This window comes from Homo sapiens, chromosome 2 (assembly GCF_000001405.40).
Source record: "Homo sapiens chromosome 2, GRCh38.p14 Primary Assembly".
In the NCBI taxonomy this organism is placed as follows: domain Eukaryota; kingdom Metazoa; phylum Chordata; class Mammalia; order Primates; family Hominidae; genus Homo; species Homo sapiens.
In genome coordinates, this window is record NC_000002.12 from 27,847,634 (window position 1) to 27,871,316 (window position 23,683).

Here is a 23,683-nt window from a genome sequence, read left to right on the forward strand (position 1 = left end):
ACCAACTGTGTGCTCTTGCAGAAATCACAGAACATCTCTGACCTTCGGTTTTCTCTTCTGTGAAATAATGGTTTCAGCCTGTATGGCTTCTAATGATTGTTGCCAGCTATAACATTCTTAAAACATCTTTTGTGAATGCAGCACCTTTTTCTCCTTGTCATTTGTCACATGTTCATGAGATGAAGGTTTGTAACCTCCTATCATTTTATTCCCATCTGGAGGAATGTACAGGGAAGAATCAACCCAAGGACATTTAAGCAAGAATGGACAAAGCTGTGCATAGAAATTCTCTGGCCACCAGGGGAAGGTCTAATAATCCTCCTCTAGATTCAATTTTTCTCATAACAAAATCACAGAAAAAAGCTATAAACACTAACTTTAAAAAAGGTGGGAATTTTACCTGTAGAAATATCATTCTGTTTTAAGTTTTCTATATAATCATTGCCAAAAGAATCTTTGCCAACCTGTACCAAAGAAATAATGAATATTAGATCTTTTAGAGTTAGTAAAATGCTACAATGTAGTTTTTAGAATACTTAGCATTTTAAAAGGGCATATCTGCACAGTACTTTATAAACATTAACTAATTAATCTTCTTAATATAAGATGCTAGACTTGATTGCAGCCCAAAGAATTGTTATATAATGTTTCACTTATATCCTACTTAAAATGTGAAGTATTTAATGAACATCACTCATTAAGTCATTCTCATTTTGAGCTGTTCATGTGATAATTCCCACTGAGATAGAGTTATCTACCATCATCAATCCTCAATATTTATGAAGAATCTCAGCTGTTTGTACTTCACTGTAAATATGGGTATCTTTGTCATGACTTGCCTGATGTTCCAGAATCTTTTTATCTTCTCCCTTGACACTGACACATAGAGGCAAAGAGAAGGAAATTTTAAAGGCCCTAGCTAACTTGGGTAACTTGGTATAATGGAATTGTGTTTTTGCATCCTAGCATCTATTCTGTTAAAGGTATTTCAGTTTTTCCTTTGGACACCTATTTCTGTCCCATTCTATAGACAACAAGATTAGGTTGGCCAAGGGACCCAGGCCTGATTAAAAAGCATGTTCCTTGTAGTCCCAGCTACTCGGGAGGCTGAAGCAGGAGAATTGCTTGAACCCGGAGGTGGAGGTTGCAGTGAGCCGAGGTCACACCACTGCACTATAGTCTGGGTGACAGAGTGAGACTGTCTCAAAAAAAAAAAAAAAAAAGTGTGTTCCACCATCCTAGTCACAGTGATGGGTTCATGAATGAGCATGTGACCTAAACTAGTCCAATAAGACTCAGTCCTGGGACTTTTACTGAAACTACCAGGGAAGACAAGTTTTCTTCCCAGTAAGATTGCTGGCTATAAGAGAATGTAAGCCTGCAGCCACTGGGGCTCACCATGTGGAGACAGCTAGAAAGAAAAGAGAGAAACATAACAGAAAGCAGGAGGGTGACAGACACAAACAGACACAGACTCCTAATAGCCTAATGGAACCCTAAGTCATCTGAAGCCAGCTCTACCACTGGGCTTTTCAGTTACATGAGGCAATACATTCTTTTTAAAAATTTTATTTTATTTTTTTTTGCTTAAGCTATTTTGAATTGGGTGTCTATTGTCTGTTATTAACAAAGTCCTGACTAGCTTCAGGCTGGGTGCGGTGGCTCATGCCTGTAATCCCAACACTTTGGGAGGTCAAGGCGGATGGATCACCTGAGGTCAGGAGTTCGAGGCCAGCCTGGTCAACATGGTAAAACCCCATCTCTACTGAAAATACAAAAATCAGCCGGGTGTGGTGGCGCACGCCTGTAGTCCCAGTTACTTGAGAGGCTGAGGTAGAACTGCTTAAACCCAGGAGGCGGAGGTTGCAGTAAGCTGAGATTGTGCCACTGCACTCCAGCCTGGGCGACAGAGCAAGACTCTGTCTCAAAAAAAAAAAAAAAAAAAAAAAAAAAGAAAAAGAAAAAAAGAAAAAAAAGAAAAGAAAAAGCTAGTTAGCCTAGTGCCTAGTGTAACCCTGAACCACTGAACTATAATTTAAGTAGCTTTGTCTGTGACTGGATCCTGTGACCACATTCTTGCTTTGTGGTCCACTTTGGTAACTGGATCTCCCCTGTTTTTGTCAGCATGAGTGTGTATCCTAATCATCTGGTTAGCCCTCTAGCTCTTTCAGAACAGGCACTCTTCTCTGCCTGGCCAGCCATTTGCAGGGGCCAGGCCTTTAGGTCTGTGGCTCAAAACCAGAAAACTATGATTGCAAGGCCTTTGATACTAATGCTGGCATCTTATCGACATCTCCCTACTGTCCGTTTCTGGCCTCCGTGGTGCTGCAATCACTGTGCTAGTCAGGACACCCTTGTTATCTTCTCCCATACCCCTCTAATGCTAACCATTTGTCTGACTGCTACCTTGGCTGGACCTTGGCTTGAACTCTACAGTTGAATCTACAGCAGAGGTTGTAAATTGGTGGGCTGAAAGTTCAATCTGACTGCTAGATATGTTTTGTTTGCCCTACTACTGTTTTCTAAAAACTAGACTTTATTTTAAAAACAGTTTTAGGTTCTCAGCCTAAGAGAGTAGAAAGTACAGAGTTCCCATATACTCTCTGTCTCCTCCGGCAACTAGTATCCCCCACTATTAACATCCTGCAACTAAGTGGTACTTTGTTACAACTGATAAACCTACATGACATATCATTATCACTCAAACTCCATAGTTTACATTAGGGTTCACCCTTGGTGTCGGATATTCTATAGGGTTTAACAAATGTAAAATGTCATATACCCACCATTATAGTACTATACACAATAGTTTCACTACCCTAAAAATCCTCTATGCTTTGTATATTCATCCTTCTCTCCCCACTAGCCTCTGGCAACCACTAATCTTTTGTCTCCATAGTTTTGCCTTTTCCAGAATATCATACAGTTGTAATTACACAGTATGCAGCCTTTTCAGATTGACTTCTTTTACTTAGTAATATGCAACTAAAGTTCCTCTGTGTCTTTTTATGCCTTGATAGCTAATTTCTTTTTAGGGCTGAATGATATTCCATTGTCTCGATGTACCAGAGTTTATTTATCCATTTATCTACTAAAGGATGTCTTCCAAGTTTGGGAAATTATGAATAAAGCTGCTATAAATATCTGTGTGCAGGTTTTGGTGTAAATGCCCTGCTATTTTTATCAGTTCTCAATACTTAAATATTAGAAGACTTCACAAAAACAGACAGATGTCCAGGGGGTTCTGAAAATTCAGAGGTTCTGGTAACACTGGGTCCACATTCCTGCAAGGCAAACCACCTGGAACTGAGAGGTGAGTGCCTTAAAGTGCTCATAGACTCTTGGCTTCACCTAGCCTACTGCAATTTCTGTTACCTGCTTGGCTCCTGTAGGCCTTTAGTCTTGCTACCTCTGAACTATACTTCTGAACTGAACTTCTATTTTTCTGTCCTGCAGGTGAGCATTACTTCAATGGACTATGTCTCAATCCAGGTTTCAGTCACTCCTGGTGTGTTCTATTCTTCCACAGAAAATTGTTCCTTTCTGGATATATCAATAGAAAGAAACCTGTCTGTTTCCTTACCATCATTTCTGAGAACTTAGAAGTCCTTTGCCCTCTCTCCTCCACTAAATCAAACCTCACCTGTTTTTCAAGTATCAGCTTAAGGTCTACCTTCCCTACTCTGGCCCTTGTTAATCCTCTCATCTCCACACCTCCTATGACATTCCTAATCAAGCCCATAGTTCAATACCATCTTATATTGTTGGCGATTTCATATTTGTTAGTCTAGTCTTCTTAAAAGCTTACTGGAGATTCTTTAGGATTTGATCACATTAGTTGTCCTTCTGTTCATTTTCCTTGGACCCATCTTGTAGTCATGTTCCATTCTTTTTTTTTTAAATTTTTTATTTTTTTATTTTTGAGACGGAGTTTCGCTCTTGTTGCCCAAGCTGGAGTGCAATGGTGCGATCTCCGCTCACTGCAACCTCTGCCTCTTGGGTTCAGGTGATTCTCCTGCCTCAGCCTCCCGAGTAGCTGGGATTACAGGTGTGCACCATCACACCTGGCTAATTTTTGTACTTTTAGTAGAAATGGGGTTTCACCATGTTAGCCAGGGTGGTCTCGAACTCCTGACCTCAGGTGATCTGCCCATCTCAGCCTCCCAAAGTGCTGGGATTACAGGCGTGAGCCACCACACCCGGCTGTCATGTTCCATTCTTGAAGGAACATGACTACAAGCACCCAAACTATTCTAGAATGGTTCCATACAAGGTTTTGTTTCCAACAGCCTCCTTGAAGGCACCCTCACACTCTTTTGACTACAGCAGTGAAATACTTTTGGGTAGAAAGATTCTTGGAAACCCGCATAGTCTGAGATAACCTGTCTGTGTTAACTTGTTCCACGTGAAGGAAGCCAGGTCAAGAGCAACTATGGACAAGCACCTGCACATAAGCCAAAAGGGAACTCTCAGAACTCAACATGCTCTTTGGAAATCCCAGGCTCAGTTCCGCCCTGAATATTGTAGAGTAGTGCCATCCAATAGAACTTTCTGCAATGATGAAATGTTCTATATCTGTGCTGTCCAATACAGAAAATGTTTTCTATTTGTTCTGCCCAATACAGACACTCGAAATACAGACTGTGTGACAGGAATTCAATTTTTTAACTTTGATTACATTTAAATCTAAATATCCACATGTGGCTAGTGGCTTCTGTATTTGACAATGCAGCAAGGGTCATGGAAAGCAAAAGGGCTGGGTGTATGAGGAACAAGAGCATTTCTTCAGCTAAGGGGACTGAGGTGCTTCCTTCACTCTTATCACTGGGAGGGATCTTTCTGCATTGAAGAAGAGCTTTGGGAGGGCTTCCAGAGTCCAGAACTATGACCTGAAGCTAAGGAGGGCAACTTCAGTCAGCATCATAACTTCTATTTTGCAAAATGACTGAGGAATGGTTGTTTAGGCTGCTTGGAATCCTCAAATGGCAGAAACCATCTAGTAATTCTACTCCTCAACATACATTTGGGGTAAATAAAACACAGGATATCAAAACATCCTACCCAAGGCCACATGAAATTGAATATTCTGCTCAAGAAGTTATCACATATATTAAAACAGGTTACCGATTTCAAAGCATTAGAATACAGAAAATATGTTTAACACTAAAACTAAGATGAATATAATTTAATCCTTGCAACTGAAGACATTTTGTCACTTTTCAGTGCCTGAGGGTTATAGTGAACAGCTGGTTGAGGAGACTAAGTTGCATTTGTTGTCATACAAAACCCAGCTGTTGCTTTTTTGAATAAATCCTTCATATTAACTTTTAACTTGTCATTTGTGGCCTTATAACAAAATACATAAGAAGAATATATAAAATCTCAGTTATTAAAGCTTGCTGGTTGTTTAAATCCTAGATAAAGGGGTGTTTACCTTAATAATGGCCTTTAGGCTAGGCATGGTGGCTTATGCCGTAATCCTAGCATTTTGGGAGGCTGAGGTGGTAAGACTGCTCGAGGACAGGAGTTCGAGACCAGCCTCAGCAACACAGCAAGACCCCATCTCTACAAAAAATTAAAAAATTAGCTGGGTGTGGTGCTGCATGCCTGTAGTCTCAGCTACTCTGGAGGCTGAGGTGGGAGGATTGCTTGAGCCCAGGAGTTTGAGGCTGCAGTGAGCTGTAGCACCGTAGTACTACAGCCCAGGCAACCTGTCTCTGAAAAAAAAAAAAAAAAAAAAAGGCCTTTGGGCTGGTGGTGCACACCTGTAATCCCAGCACTTTGGGAGGCCAAGGCAGGCAGATTGCTTGAGCTCAGGAGTTTGAGACCAGCCTGGGCAACATGGCAAAACCTTGTCTACAAAAAATACAAAAATTAGCTGGGTATGGTGGAATATGCCTGTAGTCACAGCTACTTGGGAGGCTGAGGCAGGAAGATCACCTGAGCCCGGGGAGGTTGAGGCTGCAGTGAGCCCAGATTGCACCACTGCACTCTAGCCTGGGCAACAGAGTGAGATCCTGTCTCAGAAAAAAATAAAGACCTTTAATATACAAAGTTAATGCTGCAATCACCATTATTAGGCCTGATTATCTGAGAGTGGTGATAGGTTTGAGATAATCCAGTTATTTTCTCTCATTTCTACCATTTCTTCCTATACAAGGTTTATATTATTTGCTTGGTTATAGGATCATTTGTTTGAACATATGGCTAAGCATTCCAATCAACATAGCCAACTAATTATATCTAGCTGTCTTTCAACAGAGTTCAGGAAAGGACAGATTTCACCTCATTATATATTACCTGGAAAGACCTGGTGACTAATTTTTGATCTCTGAAAATGAAAATCTCAATGCATGATCAGATGATTCTCCCACAGTAATCTAGCACAGAAGGTACTTTTTGGTTAAGGTGATGGATACTCTAATGCACTGCTTTTCAAGCTATCCGTGGAGAAGCACTGGCCTTGTTTTCCTTTTCTTGTTTTCAATCCATTGTGGACTAACAATTTTATAAAATACAATAACAAGGAGATGAAAACAAAAAAGAGTCATACAAACTACAAGGCCTAATTTATTATTACTATTATATTCAACGGTTGTAAAGTTATTCTGTCAAATTGCTATAAATGATCCTAACTGCTTACTCTCAATTCCTGTGCTGTTTGGACCGGTGACAATCTGCATGCAGCCTGGCACCAGCCTGAGGACTGGACTTTGAACAGCACCACCTTAATGTACCGAGTTAGGAGGCCAGCAGGTCTTATTTTCCAGTTGGACCCTGCTGGTGGAAGCAGGATCTGGTCAAAACATGGTGCAATGAAGACGCTGGCTGAAAAGAGGAAAGTGACCTCTAGTTGCTCTCACTGCTCATTAGCACAAGACACTCCTACTGGACCCAAGATAGTTTACAAATGCCATGGCAATGGCCCAGAAGTTACCTTTTATAGTTCTGGAAATTCCCCACCCTTTTTCCAAAAAGTTCTGAATAACCTGCCTCTTAATTAGCATATAATTTAAAGTACATGTAAATATAGTTGCTAACAGCCCATACACTACCCTCTGGGCACATAGCCTATCAGTTAGCCCTGCAGCACTGGTTCAATCAAAGTTGCTTTTTCTTTTTTTTTTTTTTTAATATTTAACAGCTTTACTGAGATATAATTATAATAAAAACCCTGCATATATTTAATGTATACATTTTGATGGGTTTGAATACATGCATACATCTGTGGAACCATTACCACAATCAGTGTAATAAACATCCATCACCTCCAAGTTTCCTCCTGCCCATTTGGCAAGATAAAATAAGATCCAGAGATCTGCTGTACCACATCGTGCCTATAGTTCATAATACTTTATTGTATGCTTAAAATGCTCTTAAGAAGGTAGATCTCAAGTTAAGTGTTCTTACTACCCCCCGCCCCCCCACCACACAAAGTTGCTTTTTCTTATCCTTGGCTCACTCTTAAATTCTTGCCTGGGCAAAGCCAAGAACCCTCCTTGGCTAAGCCCCTCAGGGCAGCCTGCATCAGTATCACCTCTGTCACAAAACTTCATGCTTGATGGTTCTGAAGGGAAAACAGATAGCTACCTGTATTAGAGAGTTTGATAGTCTCATATATGAAGGATAGTCTCATATTTGAAGGATAGTTTGATAGTCTCACATTTGAAGGAAGCAAGACAGGGTAATTTCTTGAAGGTGTTTCCAGTTTGCTGATTCCTGACCTGGGTCATTTGGGTTCATACCTGCTCATGGTTTCTGTGCTCATACTGGGCCAGTGCATCTTGAGTTCCTTACTTGACCATGGTCCTCTCCTGAACTGCCAACTTTTGATGTTTAGGAATAACTTCCTCTTCTTAACATTTGGCTTCAATGGAATGGAGCAGGAAACACTTAACTCAGGTGAAGATTTAAGAAAGATGTCCTAATAGGCTCTTTGCCCTGGGAGGAAGACTTTCATTTTATACAATATCTGCCAGGATTTTAAATCTGAAAATACCATCTCCAGTTATCACTAGACTGTAGCTTTGGTCCATGACTCAGCTAAATACTGACTAACTCTTAAGTACTTGAAGTGTTTCATTATACATGTATCACTGTATAAATAATGAGGTAACTCATTTAATATTCTTTGTCACAATATCTTAACAAATATTTCTCCCTAGCTCAATATAAGTTTGTTTGGGCCATCAATCTTACTTCATAAGAGTTTGAATTTTAGTTTGTTATAGGTAGCAAGAGGTAAATAAATCTTGCTGAGAAAGCCATAGAAAATTTTTACCTGTTTTTCTTTTGCTCCTTCTGTTCATTTTTATCTTGATAAATTTCATGGTTTTGGTTTCTACTTAGAACTTGTCATCTTTAAAAAACTGCTATAAAGCAAGTTTGGCTAATTTGCTTAATAAAAATGTATCTCACAATGGATAAAATATGATTAATGGACAGATAATAACTTCTTTTACAAAAATATATGATTTTCTTTTTAAGAAGTCTGAGAATATTATGCAATTTGCTTAAGCTTTTAAATAATTCCATGTCTAAAGGTTCCAAGTTATCTAACCAAAGTTACCCTGGATAGGTTTTAGCTGCAGTCATGTTTTTTGATCCTCTGCTAGGCAGACACACAGGCTAAAATCCACTGTGGTGCTAAGCATTAGGTGACTAAATCAGGGGCATGGTAGATGTATAGAACTTTCAAAATTGTACAGATGCTAACATAAACCATCACACACAAATGGTACCTTTGCTTTAATCAACCTCCTAACTGGAACATTTCCCAAAATACAGCCCCCTGCTTCTATTCCTCTCCTATCCACTCATATGGTTTTAGGATTCATTTCCCACGTTCAGTTCCATAACTCAAATATTTCTCTTTGTCATTTCTTTCTTTGCCTCAAATTCAACAGACCTAAAATAAAATCAATTTCATAATCTTAGGGTTGGAAGAGATCCCAGGGGACATCCAATCTTGACTTTAATGGCTACATAAATAGCTTCCATAAAACATCCAAGAGAGGGGTTCTCTAATCTCTCCTTTAATGTCTCCAGCTCTAGGAACTCCCCTCTTCCCAGCGAAGCCATTTTGGGTGCATAGCTTCCAACGCCAATTCTATGTCCAAGTTTTCCTACACAGGAAATTATATCATCCTCTTTCCAGTTCCCAGGTCCTCTTAATTAAGTCAGCACCATCTGATTACTCTCCAAACGCTCCATAGCTAATCAGGTATGAGATGGGTCAGGCCTAAGTTTTTAATCAGCCACCTCTCACAGACCCATAATTCCTGGAACATAATTAATTGCTGATTAATTACACTGATATTTTAAATCTATCAAGAGCTCAATCTTAGCAAAAGAGGGTTTCTTGCTTTGAATCTGATGCTTCACGTGATGTTTTTGACCAAATAGCCATGTGAAAATTATGTTAATCATAGGTTAGAAATAAAATTACAGTTTACTAGCAGATGGAGTGATAATTGTATAGTTTATACATCATTTAAAACTCCTGTGGAGAGAAAAGTGCTGACTGCAATGAAAAATGACATTTCGAGAATTTTTGGTAAAATCTACATAGTTCACAGGAGAAAGCTCATTCTTTTAAGTTCCTTGTATTTTTCTTGCCCTTTAATAATGTGCAGACACAGGCTGGCTTTCCCTAAAAATCAAAGAAACACAATCATCTACCTTTCCTGTTATACTAATGCTATAATGCTAGCGCCTTAAAATTTCATGAAAAATGAAAAGTGAAAACTTTTGGCAGCCCATTTATTTTCAAATTATTTCGGTAGCATGGATAAAAATAGGAATACTGTATGTTACAATATCATATCTCTACATACATGAAAACAAAACTATGCCAAAAGCTCAGTTATATGTAGCTCATTAAGGCCCAGATTCTTTTCAGATCTAAGATACAGCATTAGAAGAAAATGACTTAGAGATGAGTAAATCACCGGTTATTACAAGAAGTTTCCAAAAGCTGTGTTGCTGCGGTGAAACCTGCTAAAAACAAGGTGACTCATGCTGTTGTTTAGAAGCTGGATGACAGAAACCCATTGGAGTACGCTAATTTCCCTCACTTCTCACACCCCAGTTACAAACTCATTACATTCAGGGAATGCAGCATTAAGTTATTTGAGAACTGCTACTTCCCAGAGGATTCAATGAGGTAGAAATTAGTATAAAGGACAAGGGAGACTATTCTCTGTTATTTAGATCTTTAAAAACAATAAACTTCCACAAGAATTGAAAGCAGGTACTCAAGTAGATGTATATGCATGTTAGTAGCACTGCTATTCATAACAGCCAAAAGGTGGAAACAGCCCAAGTGTCCATCAATCCATTCATTGATGAATAAAAAAATTGTGGTATATCCATACAATGGAATATTATTCAACCACAAAAAGGAAGGAAATACTGATATATGCTACAATGTTGTACCTCAAAAACAGTATGCTAAGTGAAAGAAGCCAGGTACAAAATGTCACATAATATATATTCCATTTATATGAAATGTCCCGAATAGATAAATCCATAGAGATAGAATGAAGACTGGTGGTTCCCAGGGCTTTAAAGGGAAGACAGAATGAGGAGGAACTGCTTAAGGGGTAAGGGATTTTGTTTTGGAATGATGGTAAAGTTCTGGAACAAGACAGAAGTGGTGGTTGAATGTATTAAATGCCACTCTATGTATTACATGCCACTGAACTGTTCACTCTAAAATGGTTGAAAAAATTAAAAACAATGAACTCCAGTCTTAAAACCAGATTCTTACCTCTAGAGTCCTCTCCACTATACTTTGTACTTACCTTACACACCATGGACGTCATTGCTCCAAGCCGAGCAGCTTGGACACACTGGTTGGCACCTTTCCCTCCAAAGCCAATAAAAAACTTATGTCCATGGATGGTTTCTCCAGTTTTTGGCAAACGAGAAGTAAGACTATTGTAATTTAAAAAGAGAAGAAAAAAGCATATTGGTAACTGTAATCAATTTAAGTTCTTTAGAAGAGAGGGAAGGCTATATGGTAGAGCTCTAAATAGTCTTAACAATTAGAACTATAAGCAGAAGCAACGAAGATTATCTCTTCCTTTAGGATGACATTTAGTAGTTTGCATCATTATCAAGAATGAGTCTCCTTGACAGAATTCCTCTCTCTCTCCTAGAGACCACTACTGTGGCTAGTGTTGTACTGCATCAGGGTTATTCATGAATACTTTTCCTTCATATTCTCTTTCTTAATGCCAGCACAGAACTTTATTCACAGTGGGATTTAATAAATGGGATGAAATTAATGTATATTTCTATATGGGTTTATCTGGTCACTTTAACAAGAAGCAGGAAGTGTTAAACCAAGAAGCAGGAAGTGTTAAACCAGACCAGGATTCTGATAATCAAGTACAGGACCTAAGGAGAAGAGGGAAGTTACAATTCCAGGTGCTAAAGAATCTTTTTTGTTTACTAAGGGGTAGAGTAAGAGTGGGGTGTTCAGAGAGCAGGATCAGGTTTTAGTCTTAGTCCATCCTGCATACCACATCATTTCACGTGCTCACTCAAAAAGGGTGTCTATTTTAAAAAAGGAACACTAAAGAGCTAAGTTATTTTTAAATTTTTATTATGGAAGATTACAAACCTATAAAAGTAGAGAAAACAGCATACTGGCTTCCCTTTCCCTCATTCACCTATCATCCAGATTTAATAATTTAATACTTATTGTTTCATAGCCAATCTTGTTTGAGTCAATACCTTCATCAGCTTCTCTAAGAGGTAAGAATTTTTACCATAATGCTATTATTGCCTAATGATGATAGTATTAAGTGAGGCAAAAAGAATAAAAGGTTTGATCCAGGGTAAGATTTTTATATTTCATATTATTAAAGATGGAAGGTGTGAGGAAATAAAATATTTGAAGGATGGAAGGAAATGATTGACTTTAAAATGAAAGAGGCATTCTGGGGAGTTCTAGGGCAAGTGAAGAAGATGGGCTCAGGTGGCACGAACACTGGCTAGCTGGCCACAGAGAAGTGGGCCAAGGGCCAGAGGGAGCAGATAAAAAGAGGGTAGGTGTGACCAAAAAAGGTTAACTAGCTTTAGATAGGAAAGAAAGGTAAAGAGGTAAGTTCACAATGGTAAGGCCACTGAGAACCTACACTGCTTTTACAGGTTAGAAATTTATATTAATTTTCCACATAGGTTGTGATCTATCTGAAGTCAGTATCTTATATTAGAACAGAGCAATGACAAGTCCTAACAGCCAGTTTGCAACGGGATGACATATAACTGATGCTAAGAACACACGATTGCTTCAATAAAGACCAAGCTCAACCTGTTAACCTCCTTTATATAGCTCTAAAAGTGTCAATAAATTGAGCTGAACTACTCCATTCCCTTGCAGTACACTGTCAAATATGGTTGAGATTCAAAAGAGCCTCATCAATAATTTGAAAACATCCCACTCCTCCCCTTTAAATTCTATTTTTATCTTGGATTCTAAATGCATTTATAGTACTGATGAAAAAAAATATACATCTAGAAGGTTCACTTCTGAAAAAGGTACTCAATCAAGAGAAAAATGGTTTTAATGTAATGTTATTATCCTGTCATTTAATTTAGCAATGACAAGTGATGATGAGATTTTGATTTGCATTAGAAATCTTAAACATCTTAGGATTCTGTTATGAACAGGCAATGATGAGTAATCTGTGTGATTGAGTAACTATGTGAATTCTTGGCTTACTGATGCTGCTACAAACAACACTCAGAGCAACCTGAAAAAGAAAAAATATACCATGTGGCTAAAAACAGGCCAAATAACTTGATTAGTAAGACTGTCACTAAAGAAACTTATGATTTCCACTACATCTATACTTAGATCTGGGTTACAATTCACTGGTTTGAATCAAGTGTAATTTTTATTACTAACTGTGAGAATTCATTTAAAAATCACCAGATTATTACTGGGATGTATATATATATGTGGGGGAAGGGCAAAATCATGGGTACAGTAGGTGTGTTTGATGTGGGAGCAGATGGCTGGGATTTAAACTCATTTCTAAACAACTTCTATTAACACAAGCATTGTATTAATTCAGTGATCACTGAAATTCTTCACTCTTTTGGTATTTTACTAATTTCTCCTCTTTTTCTTCTGCATCCTTCCCCTACTCTTGTCTCTTTCTTCCCTTAACTGTAGACTTTCCCTGCATGAGGACAGGGACCAAGTCTGTCATGTTCTCCATTTTATGCAATGTGTCTGTCACTTGACACGAGGTTAACAGATATTTGCTGATTGAACAGATTTTTGTAAGAGTCTCCCTTTGTCTCTGTCTCTGTCTCTCTTTCTCTCTTTTTTTTTTTAAACAGAGTCTCTCTCTGTCACCAAGGCTGGAGTACAGTGGCACGATCTCGGCTCACTGCAACCTCCACCTCCTTGATTCAAGTGATTCTCCTGCCTCAGCCTCCCAAGTAGCTGGGATTACAGGGGTGCGCCACCAGGCAAGGCTAATTTTTGTATTTTTGGTAGAGAGGGGGTTTCATCATGTTGGCCAGGCTGGTCTCGAACTTTTGGCCTTAAGTGATCCGCCTGCCTTAGCCTCCCAAAGTGCTGGGGTTACAGGCATGAGCCACCGCGCCCAGCCTCCCTTTGTCTCTTTTCTGTGTCTCCCCCGTATAGCATCTATTCCTGTTCTGAAATGAGGATGTGGAGGTGTTGATTAGGGAAGCAGGGGGAGACTGGCAGGGATGACTGGGCAACTGTCCGACAATAACAACTCCATATTTTACCAGATCTTGCCCACTGCACTCCCAGTATCAGCAGCATTCCTCTTCCACAAGCAAGAACTGTAACTAGAAGTCATATATTCCTTCATTCATGCACTAATTCAACAAATGTTCATCACTGTGTCCTGATGTATCTCCTACAAGGCAAAATCAACTTGTTGACAATGGCATTAAACCTAACCCTGATGCAAGTAATACACGAGTGAAGAAAATAATTCACGGAATAAGGAGATTAGTATGTTCCATTTCTTTTTGGGGGGGGGGTGGAGTCTCACTTTGTCTCCCAGGCTGGAATGCAGTGGTGTTATCTCGGCTCACTGTTACCTCTGCCTCCTGGGTTCAAATGATTCCCCTGCCTCAGCCTCCCGAGTAGCTGAAATTACAGGCATGCACCACCATGCCCAGCTAATTTTTTTTGTATTTTTAGTAGAGATAGGGTTTCATTTTATTGTCCAAGCTGGTCTTGAACTCCTGATCCCCCTGCTTCAGCCTCCCAAAGAGCTGGGATTACAGGTGTGATCCATGGCGCCTGGCCTGATTTTTTTTTTTTTTTTTTTTTTGAGACAGAGTCTGCTCAGTTGCTGAGGCTGGAGTGGAACACAAAAATGGCTCACTGGAGCCTCAACTTCCTGGGCTCAGATGATCCTCCCACCTTAGCCTCCCAGAGAGCTGGGACCACAGGTGCACACCACCACTCCTGGTTAATTTTTTGTATTTTTTTATAGAGACGGGGTTTTGCCATGTTGCTCAGGCTGGTCTCAAACTTTTGGACTCAGGCGATCCTCCTGCCTCGGCCTCCCAAAGTGTAGGGATTGCATGCGTGAGCCACCGTGCCTGGCTGATTTATGTTATTTAAAAGGAAAAAGATATAGGTATATGTTCTCCCATGATATGTACATGCATAAAAAGTGAAAAGTTAAATGACAGGTATTCACAAAGAAAGGTGGGGACTAAAAGTTTGTGTGTTATTTTATATTCTTATGCACATAAATACATACGACAAGAATATTTTAGTGTATTATACGATACCACTTGTCACTACATCAGATTCACGTGGCCTCTGCCTCATTTACTAGCCACCAGTTCTTGGTGGGCACCAGCTGGCTTCTCGCAGGTGTCACCTAACAGAGCCTTACTGAATGCTGCTCTCATTCCACCCCTGGGCTTCTGTCTCTTCAGACTGTCCTGAAGGACTGAGCAGCCAGTGGTCAACTTGCAAATGTCAAATACCTTTGTATACGCTCTTCCTTCTTCCCTGTCCCCTGCTCTTGACTCGGGGGTTATAGTGCTAACTGACTATGTGCACTTAAGCCTCTGTCTTAGGCTCTGGTTTCTGTTAAACCCAGACTAAGACAGTTTATGGCGGATTTAATTTTTTATAAAGTAAATAAACTGAAGAGTGGAGAGAGCAACTAGGAAGTTAGTTACAAACAGGCAGAAGCATTTCTGAATTATAAATCCTAATTTAATTTGAATGAGACTTTCCTATCTTTCTTCCTTATTGAAATCATGAAATTATGTTCAGGTTCAAGAAAGCATCTGCACAAAGCACCGTCTCCTGGGATGAAAGCATTACTATGATTTGTTCTAATTAAAAAAAAAAAGAGGTTTAACAGAGTGTCAAAGACAGAAAAATTAAATTGCTCAAATTAAAAAGAAAAGGAAACAGTATTAGTAGAAATACATTGTTACTACCATTTAAAGGTAAAAATAGTGTAAATTTCTGAATGAGGGAGAAAACCTGAACAGAGAAAACCATGCCTAAGAAATATATTTGAATTTAAAACAAATTCATAGCTTTTAAAATGCCACAATGTCTTCAGGTTGGACTGAAAGGAACAGTGATAAATGTTCATACATGGCCCCAGTCTTCCCTGCCATGAGAGGCCACGTGGTTAGAGCCTGGGTGTGCCAGGCAGGAGGCCTGAGCCACTTACTGATTGTATTACTTTTGACAGCTTTTCCCTCTTTGAACCAGCTTCTTCTCTTGCAAAACAGGTTTAATAATACTTGTCAACTCCTTAAATGCCTGGGTTTTGTGCTCTGAGTTAATTCACTGACAGGTGTTACCAGAACAACTTATCAATTGCTTTTAACTTCTTGACAATGATGTGGTTTTTACAGATTCTCAGAGATTATTCGAACCAAAGGAAGGAATGACCCGGTAATAGGGGGATGAAAAGTCTTTCAACCAAAGAGGTCATGCTAATATTGGCTTCAGCCAAAAGTCACCAAATGTGTTGCTTTTTGGCTTTTGCACTGATCTTTTCTCCTTTTGGCTGCAAGCTTCTGACAACAGAAGCCTCTATAACAGGAGATTGTACTATTAATTATTACCCAATTAAAATTCATTACACTAATTTATTATTCTTACTGCCTGTATTCTTCAACCATATTTATTCTTCTCAGCATTTGTATATGCCACATTTAAAAGGCTGAGAGTAATTTCAAAATCAAGTGAGTGACATCTATTTCTACCTCTGTAAAAAAATCTCCCAACTAAAAATTCATTCTATGTTCCCTAACCCTTCATTTGCAGACGTATATGTTATTTATTTAAGGTAATGAAACATAAATTATGCTTTATGCAGTTTTTAACTGATTTTGATTACTAACCCATATCTTTTTTTTTTAAGAGACAGGGTCTTGCTCTGTTGCCCAGGCTGGAGTGCAGTGGTACAACCACAGCTCACTGTAACCTCGAACTCCTGGGCTCAAGCAATCCTCCTGCCTTGGCCTTCTGATTAGCTAGGACTACGGGGGCACACAACCATGCCCAACTAATTTTTTTTTTGTAGAAATGGGGTCTCGCTATGTTGCCCAGGCTACTCTTGAACTCCTGGCCTCAAGCAATCCTCCCACCTTGGCCTCCCAAAGCACTGATATTACAGGCGTGAAACTCATATCTTTTCCTAGCTAAAATGTCTGCGACTAAAATGTCATTTTGTCTGAAGATGCAGCTACTCTGGAATTTGTAGAGTGGACAAACAACACTCTAGCCAGAAGTGACCAGCCTTTCACAATGTCATATCCTTGAGCCCTATTTATTTAAAACTTACTTATGTGTGAAAAAGTGTACCAGGCAATGAGAGAGACAATAAAGATTAGTACATATGGTCTTCTCCCATGTTACAGTCTTACAGGGCTGACTTCATTCACATCTCTGCTCAAATGTTACCTCTTTAGAGAGGACTTCCCAGACCACCTTATAGGAGACACTCCCTTCTTAATATAATTTTTAAGTATTGACTCATTCATTCTGAGAAAAAAAAAAACCAGGTTTTTGAATCAGAGACAGCATTTAAATACTTATACTTTAGTTCTCCAGTCCCCCACAAGGTTACATGATAAGAATAACTCCCTAATAGTAAATTTTGGAGCCTATATAGGACATTTCACACACAGCTGCTGCTCCTTCTCCCCTCTGGGGTGGGGGAAGAAGCAGCATGCATCACCTGCACATGACCTACTGACCTTTGCTTTGTAAACAAATCCTCTCAGGGAGAGAAGGGGAGGGTCTCTAGGTTTACAACCTTCAGAAGGAAAACAAATTATCTTGGGGAGAAGTCTCTGAATCTCTCCACAGGTCTTTAACTTCCAAGGCTTGTTTGCCATTCAAACATTCTTTAGGCCGGGCGCGACGGCTCACGCCTGTAATCCCAGCACTTTGGGAGGCTGAGGTGGGCAGATCACGAGGTCAGGAGATCAAGACCATCCTGGCTAACACGGTGAAACCTCATCTCTACTAAAAATACAAAAAATTAGCCAGGCGTGGTGGCAGGCACCTGTAGTCCCAGTTACTCGGGAGGCTGAGGCAGGAGAATGGCGTGAACCCAGGAGGCGGAGGTTGCAGTGAGCCGAGATCGCGCCACTGAACTGCAGCCTGGGCGACAGAGCGAGACTCCTTCTCAAACAAACAAACAAACAAACAAACAAAATTCTTTAATCCGGTGCCAGAAATCTTTGCTCAGAAAGTCCTGATCATGCAGAAACATGAAAACATTCATGAAGCATTGCTTCCCAACAATTTTCTTCATAGCAATATCACTACATGACATTACAATACTCATTTCCTTCTTTTCCTGCTTTCTTTTGGATTAACTGTATTCCATTTTACGTTCCCTGTTTGTGTGTTATATTCTACCTTCCCTTCTCCTCCTCCTTTTTTTTTTTTTTTTTTTTTTGGTAGAGACAAATCTCAGTAAGTTGCCCAGGGCTGGTCTTGAACTCCTGGCCTAAAGTGAGCCTCCTACCTTGGCCTCTCAAAGTGTTGGGATTACAGGCATAAGTCACCATGCCTGGCTGATTTTTTCCCCTAGTATTTTAAAAGTGGTTGATCTAGGGTTTACAATATGCATCTTAAACTGATCACACTTTATTTTCAAACAGTACCATACCACTTTACTTAAAAATGTAATCTACTTTACATATTCTTCCATTTCCCCTTCCTAACCTTTGTGCTATTGTCATACATTTTACTTCCACATGATGTAAACGTCACAATACTGTTATTACTTTATTAATTTTAAATGTCAATTGCCTTTTAAAGAAATTGAGAAGTGAAGAAAAAGTCTTTGTATTTACCCATATATTTACCATTTCTGGGGGTCTTCATTCCTTTGGGTGGATCTGGGTTTCCATCTGGAATCATTTTGGTTCCACCTAAAGGAACTTCCTTTAACATTTATTATAGTGTGAGTTTTCTGGTGATAAATTCTTTTATTTTCCTAAAAAGTCTTTAGGAAGTCTTTATCTTTCCCCTTTATATTGGAAAGATATAGAATTCCATGTTGACAGTTTAGTTTTCAAGCACTTTAAAGATTTTATTTTCTTCTGACTTGCATCTTGTTTCTGACAGGAAGTCTGCAATCAATCTTTGTTCCTCTATATGTAATGTGTACCTTTTTTTTCTTAACCTCTGGATGCTTTTAAGAGTCTCTGTTTATAACTGATTTGCAGGAATTTGATCACAATGTGCTCTGATGTAGTTTATATCATGCTCATCCTGCTGGATGTTCATTGTTTGCATAGTTTGCATCAAGTTTAAAAAATTTCAGCCATTATTTTTTCAAACGCTTTTAGTGCCTCTCTGCTTCTCTCTCCTTTTATTCTTAGACTCCAGTGACATATATGGTAGGCTGTTCCACAGGTCACAGACACTGTGCATTTTTTTTCTCTGTGCTTCAGTTTAGATAATCTCTTTTACTAGTTTTTCAAGTTCACTTATCCTTTCTTCTGTCATGTTCACTCTGCTATTAGGCTCATCCAGTGGATTTTTTATTTCAGATATTGCATTTTTCATTTTTTAGACCTGGAATTTGGTTCATCTATAGATCTTCCATTTTTCTTCTGTTCATCTTTTTCTTTAAATCACTGAGCATATTTGTAACAGGTCTTTTAAAATCCCTTTCTGGCTGGGCATGGTTGCTCATGCCTGTAATCCCAACATTTTAAAAGGCTGAGGTGGGAGGATTGTTTGAGCTCAAGAGTTTGAGACCAGCCTGGGCAACATAGTGAGACCTTGTCTCTACAAATAATTTAAAAATTAGCTGGGTATGGTGGCGTGCACCTGTGGTCGCAGCTACTTGGGAGGCTGGGGCAGGAGGATTGCTTGTGCCTAGGAGGTTGAGGCTGCAGTGAGCTCTGATTGCACCACTGCACTCCAGCCTGAGTGACAGAGTAAGACCCTGTCTCAAAAAAAAAAAAAATGCCTTTTTGCTAATTCCACCATCCCTGTTTTTCTGTGTTTATTTTGACTGAGTGGTTTTCTCCCCACTCTTGGTTATAGATCACATTTTCCTGATTCTTTGCATGTCTAGTGATCTCTGGATGCTCACTAGTTACTCCAACATGGGCAGAAGTAAATATTTTTGAATGAACGGTCTACAGCTTAAAAGAAATTATATTATAGAAAGTTGAGAAGACAGATGCCTAGGTACATAATAAATAATACAATGGGGTGAGAACAGGGCAAAAGTGCTATGTATGACAGAGGCCCAAGGGAAAAAGTAAGCCAGTTATGAAATTTCCGAATTGAAAATGAAGTTATGTGACGGGAGTCTTTATAAACTTAGTTGGGAATATGGTCAGAAAAATGGGGACGAAAAGGGGCACATCCTTTTTATTCTTCCAGTATGGCATGGAGGGCTGAGTATACAAGGTGTCAGGAGAGGCTTATCACTCAAAATATTAAACATACACATAAAAATTAAAATACTACCTAAGCTCAGCAAATCTTTTTGGATAATTATATATATATACTTCCTTCCAGCTGAGCTCAGTCCTAGAGGAAGAAAAAAGGTTGGATAGGGAGGTGGGGAATGAGCTAATTTTGGAATTAGAGATTGCAAGAGGCAAGGGCAGGCAAAATGTATATGTATGTATAGGGGATTAGGAAGTGGGGATTGGACAACTATTTTGGATGGCAAAGGTATGTGTACAAGAACTGGAAAGTGGGAAAATCAGAATGCTGAAAAACAGAGCAGAAAGGGTTTGGTGGAACAAAGTCATTTGTCAAAAGTTCCTGATGAACTGCTTTTAAATTCACTGAAGACAAGAAAAGTATGCATTTGTAAAATAATAAAAATGACAGTGACAAATAACTACAAAACCAATATTTTATTTTCTATTTTGCCAATTAATTATAGTAAATTTTAAATTCCAGAATGACTTCTGTCACTACATTATAATTATCTGGGTTACATCTTTTTGCCATCTGCTGGTGTAGTTTAAAGAAATAAAAACAGATTTTAATTTTATCCTAAGCAAAATATAATTAGAAGGATAAATCAGCATAAGACAAAATAATGTAATCTGGAATCAATTATTAAATTTTAATTTATCTACTATTTTTGGTGATCATATATAATCAAGAACTCATTATGTTATTTTGAGCTTAACAATATATTTGTAAGATGATCTAGGGTAGGCATTATCATCATCTGTTTTAGGGAAAAAGTGAGAGTTCAAAAGGTATTGGCTTATCAAAAAAACACATAGCTGTTAGGGGTTGAGCTAATTTTTAATTCAGCTCTTCTGACTCCATTGCTATAGTTTTTAACCACAATATGCTACTTTCTTTGACAATTGGTATTCTTTCAATTTTGACTATAATGTTGGATATTCAATACATAAAACACACAAATATTTACTTAACAGTCATTTATATAAGAGCATAAGAAACAATAATTCTATACTAAAAACAACCTATATTTCATCCCTTTCCACCACTTCTTGTTTTGAGTGTGTCACTAGGTGATGTTACACAGGAAAGAATGGTGGCTTTCCTCGTGGTCTCTTGACACTGTTCATTCTTAAAATCTTACTTGTATTTCAAATATCTTTGCATAGCCTATTCTTTATGCCTGAAAGTTCTTTCCTTTGCTTCTCAGCTGAGCTAATCCATTCAAATCCTTTAAAATTCAACTCAGACAATCATCTCCTTTGGGAGTCCTAATATAGTAAGTCCAATTGAAATAACTAATACATTAATAATGGCAGATATTTCTAGAGGACTTATTATATGATAAATACTGCACTAAACACTTTATAACTATCAATTCACTTAATCATTACAATAACCCCATGAGAAAGTTATTATTATTTTGATCCTATTTCACAGATAAGGAGAATGAAAATCAGAGAGATTACAAAACATATCCATGTTCACCCAGTAGAAGATGGCAGGGCCAGGATTCAAAGCAAGGTTGATCTGACTCCAAAACTTACAAAATATTATCCAGAAATGTACCTAAAGCTCCTTGGACCTATTTATATTTTAGGATTTTATAATTTATTGTGTAATTTTTATTTAATAGTAATTATACTTCTGAAGAACACTGGTGTTCTTCAAGCTGAACCAAGATGCTGAGACAGCAAGGCCAAATAATGGTGCTCCTTTCCTACTTAATTCAGAAGGCATTAAGTGAATGGACACTATGTTATCAAATTTAACTTTTCTTCTTAAACCCGAGTGCAGTATTCTTTATGTAACCTATAGTCTAGCAGAAGAGAGCATACAATTTCATGGGAAGTATGAATATAGTTAACTTAAGCTTAATGTTCTGTGGTATTCCACAAAAAGTGTGACTTACCTGTGCTCTACAGCAGTGGTCCCCAGCCTTTTTGGCACCAGGGACTGGTTTTGTGGAAGACAATTTTTCCAGGGACCAGGGGGAGGAAATGGTTTTGGGATGATCCAAGCACATTCCATTTATTGTGCACTTTATTTCTATTATTATTACAGTGTAATATATAATGGAATAATTATACAACTCATCATAATGTTGAATCAGTAGGAGCCCTGAGCTTGTTTTCCTGCAACTAGACGGTCCTATCTGGGGGTGACGGGAGACAGTGATACCTGAAGTGTGTTGTTTATGTCCAGTCTACTCCATAATCTCGTTTTGGTTGCTGTTACTGCAGAAAACTCTGCTTCACAAAGATAGGGTGTTGGAAATGGAAGCAAGCTTTTCAGTGCTTTTGGGGCAGTCTCTGGATATTATGCCTTGACTTCAATCCGGACTGTGTGAAGATTTGAAGCTGTTTCAACATACTTTTAAGGCCACCGTCATTTGCGATCTCAAGCAGTTGGTCCTTTTCCAGCACGGACAAAGTCGATTCACCTTGGCTTATCCACAAATGGGTTGCAGATCCATTCCTTCCCAGTCTGGGGGGTCTTTTGTGGTTGGGAAGTAATGCTCAAACTCCTTTAAAAGCTGAGATAGGTGATCATGCACCAGCTGGGGGAAAGAAGGCCCTGGTTCAGTCTCTTTCAAAATATCTGCTAATGTTTGAAACATGTCAGAAATCCCCATGTTCACTTGTCACCCCCATAATTCCAGTTTGGCTTTGAATGCAGCCCCTTTATCTGACAATTTGAACACAGTTGTCATTCTCCCCTGAAGTGACAGATCGAGTTCGTTGAGCAGGTTGAATATGTCACACAAGGAAGCCAGGTTTGCAACCCATTCTGTGTCACTGAAATGTGCTGCCAGTGGTGACTGTTTTTCTAAAAGAAATCTCCGGAGTGGCTCTTGTAACTCAAAAACTCTGATCAGTGATCTACCTTTAGAAAGCCATCTCACTTGTGTGTGTGAGAGAAGACATGTGTGCACTGCACCCACCTCCTCACAGAGCTGTGCGAAGAGACGTGAGTTAAGGGCATGTACTTTAACGTGGTTGATAATTTTAATCACATCCTGCAAAATGCTGTTAAGTTCAGGTGACATTTTTTGGCTAGCCAGCATTTCTCTATGGATGACATGGTGTGTAGACTCACATTCAGAAGCAACCTCTTTGATGTGAGTAGTGAAACCAGAAGCTGTCCAGCCATGGCAGCCACTCTGTCCATGCATATACTCACACAAAATGACCAGTTCAGTTTTCCTGACATGTAATCACGCAAAGACTTGAACAGTTCTGCAGCTGTGGTGTGGGCTGGCAACAAAAGTGCACATAACATATCCTCATGCACATCCTCCTGAAAAATACATTACACAAAACAAGCATTGTTGCCTTGTCAACATCGGTAGACTCATCAACCTGGACTGCGTATCACAGTGACTCATTAATCCACTCTAACAATTGTGCCTCAATGTCCTCTGCTATTTCATCAATTTGTCTAGTTATGGTGCCAGCTGAATGAGGAACTTGTGCCACCTTTTTAACTGCAAGATCTCCTAAAAGTTCAAGACAAATGTCCTTAGCAGCAGGCAGGGTCAACTCTTCACCAACAGTAAAGGACTTCTTAGCTTTAGCAATGCATTTAGCCACTAACAATGATACTCTCAGTACAGACACATTTGATGAAGCTGTGGCCTTCAATGATTGCTTCTGTTCTTCGTGTTCACTAAAACAAACAAACAAACAAACAAAAAAACCCAAAAGCTTGTTTTTTAATGCGAGG

At 39.0% G+C, this 23,683-nt stretch overlaps 1 protein-coding gene across 2 annotated transcripts in view; it reads right to left on the bottom strand.

Moving 5' to 3' along the window:
• RBKS (ribokinase) overlaps window positions 1-23,683 on the bottom strand; it is a 109,009-nt gene that overhangs the window by 66,255 nt on the left and 19,071 nt on the right. The window contains exons 2-4 of one of the 2 annotated variants that reach the window (NM_001287580.2): window positions 22,139-23,257; window positions 10,806-10,938; window positions 401-464 (exon numbers count right to left, since the gene is read on the bottom strand). In NM_001287580.2, the coding sequence (NP_001274509.1) occupies window positions 401-464; window positions 10,806-10,826 (85 nt within the window). In that variant the 5' untranslated portion in view covers window positions 10,827-10,938; window positions 22,139-23,257. The remainder of the gene's footprint in view (window positions 1-400; window positions 465-10,805; window positions 10,939-22,138; window positions 23,258-23,683) is intronic. The other variant, NM_022128.3, reaches the window with a different exon arrangement.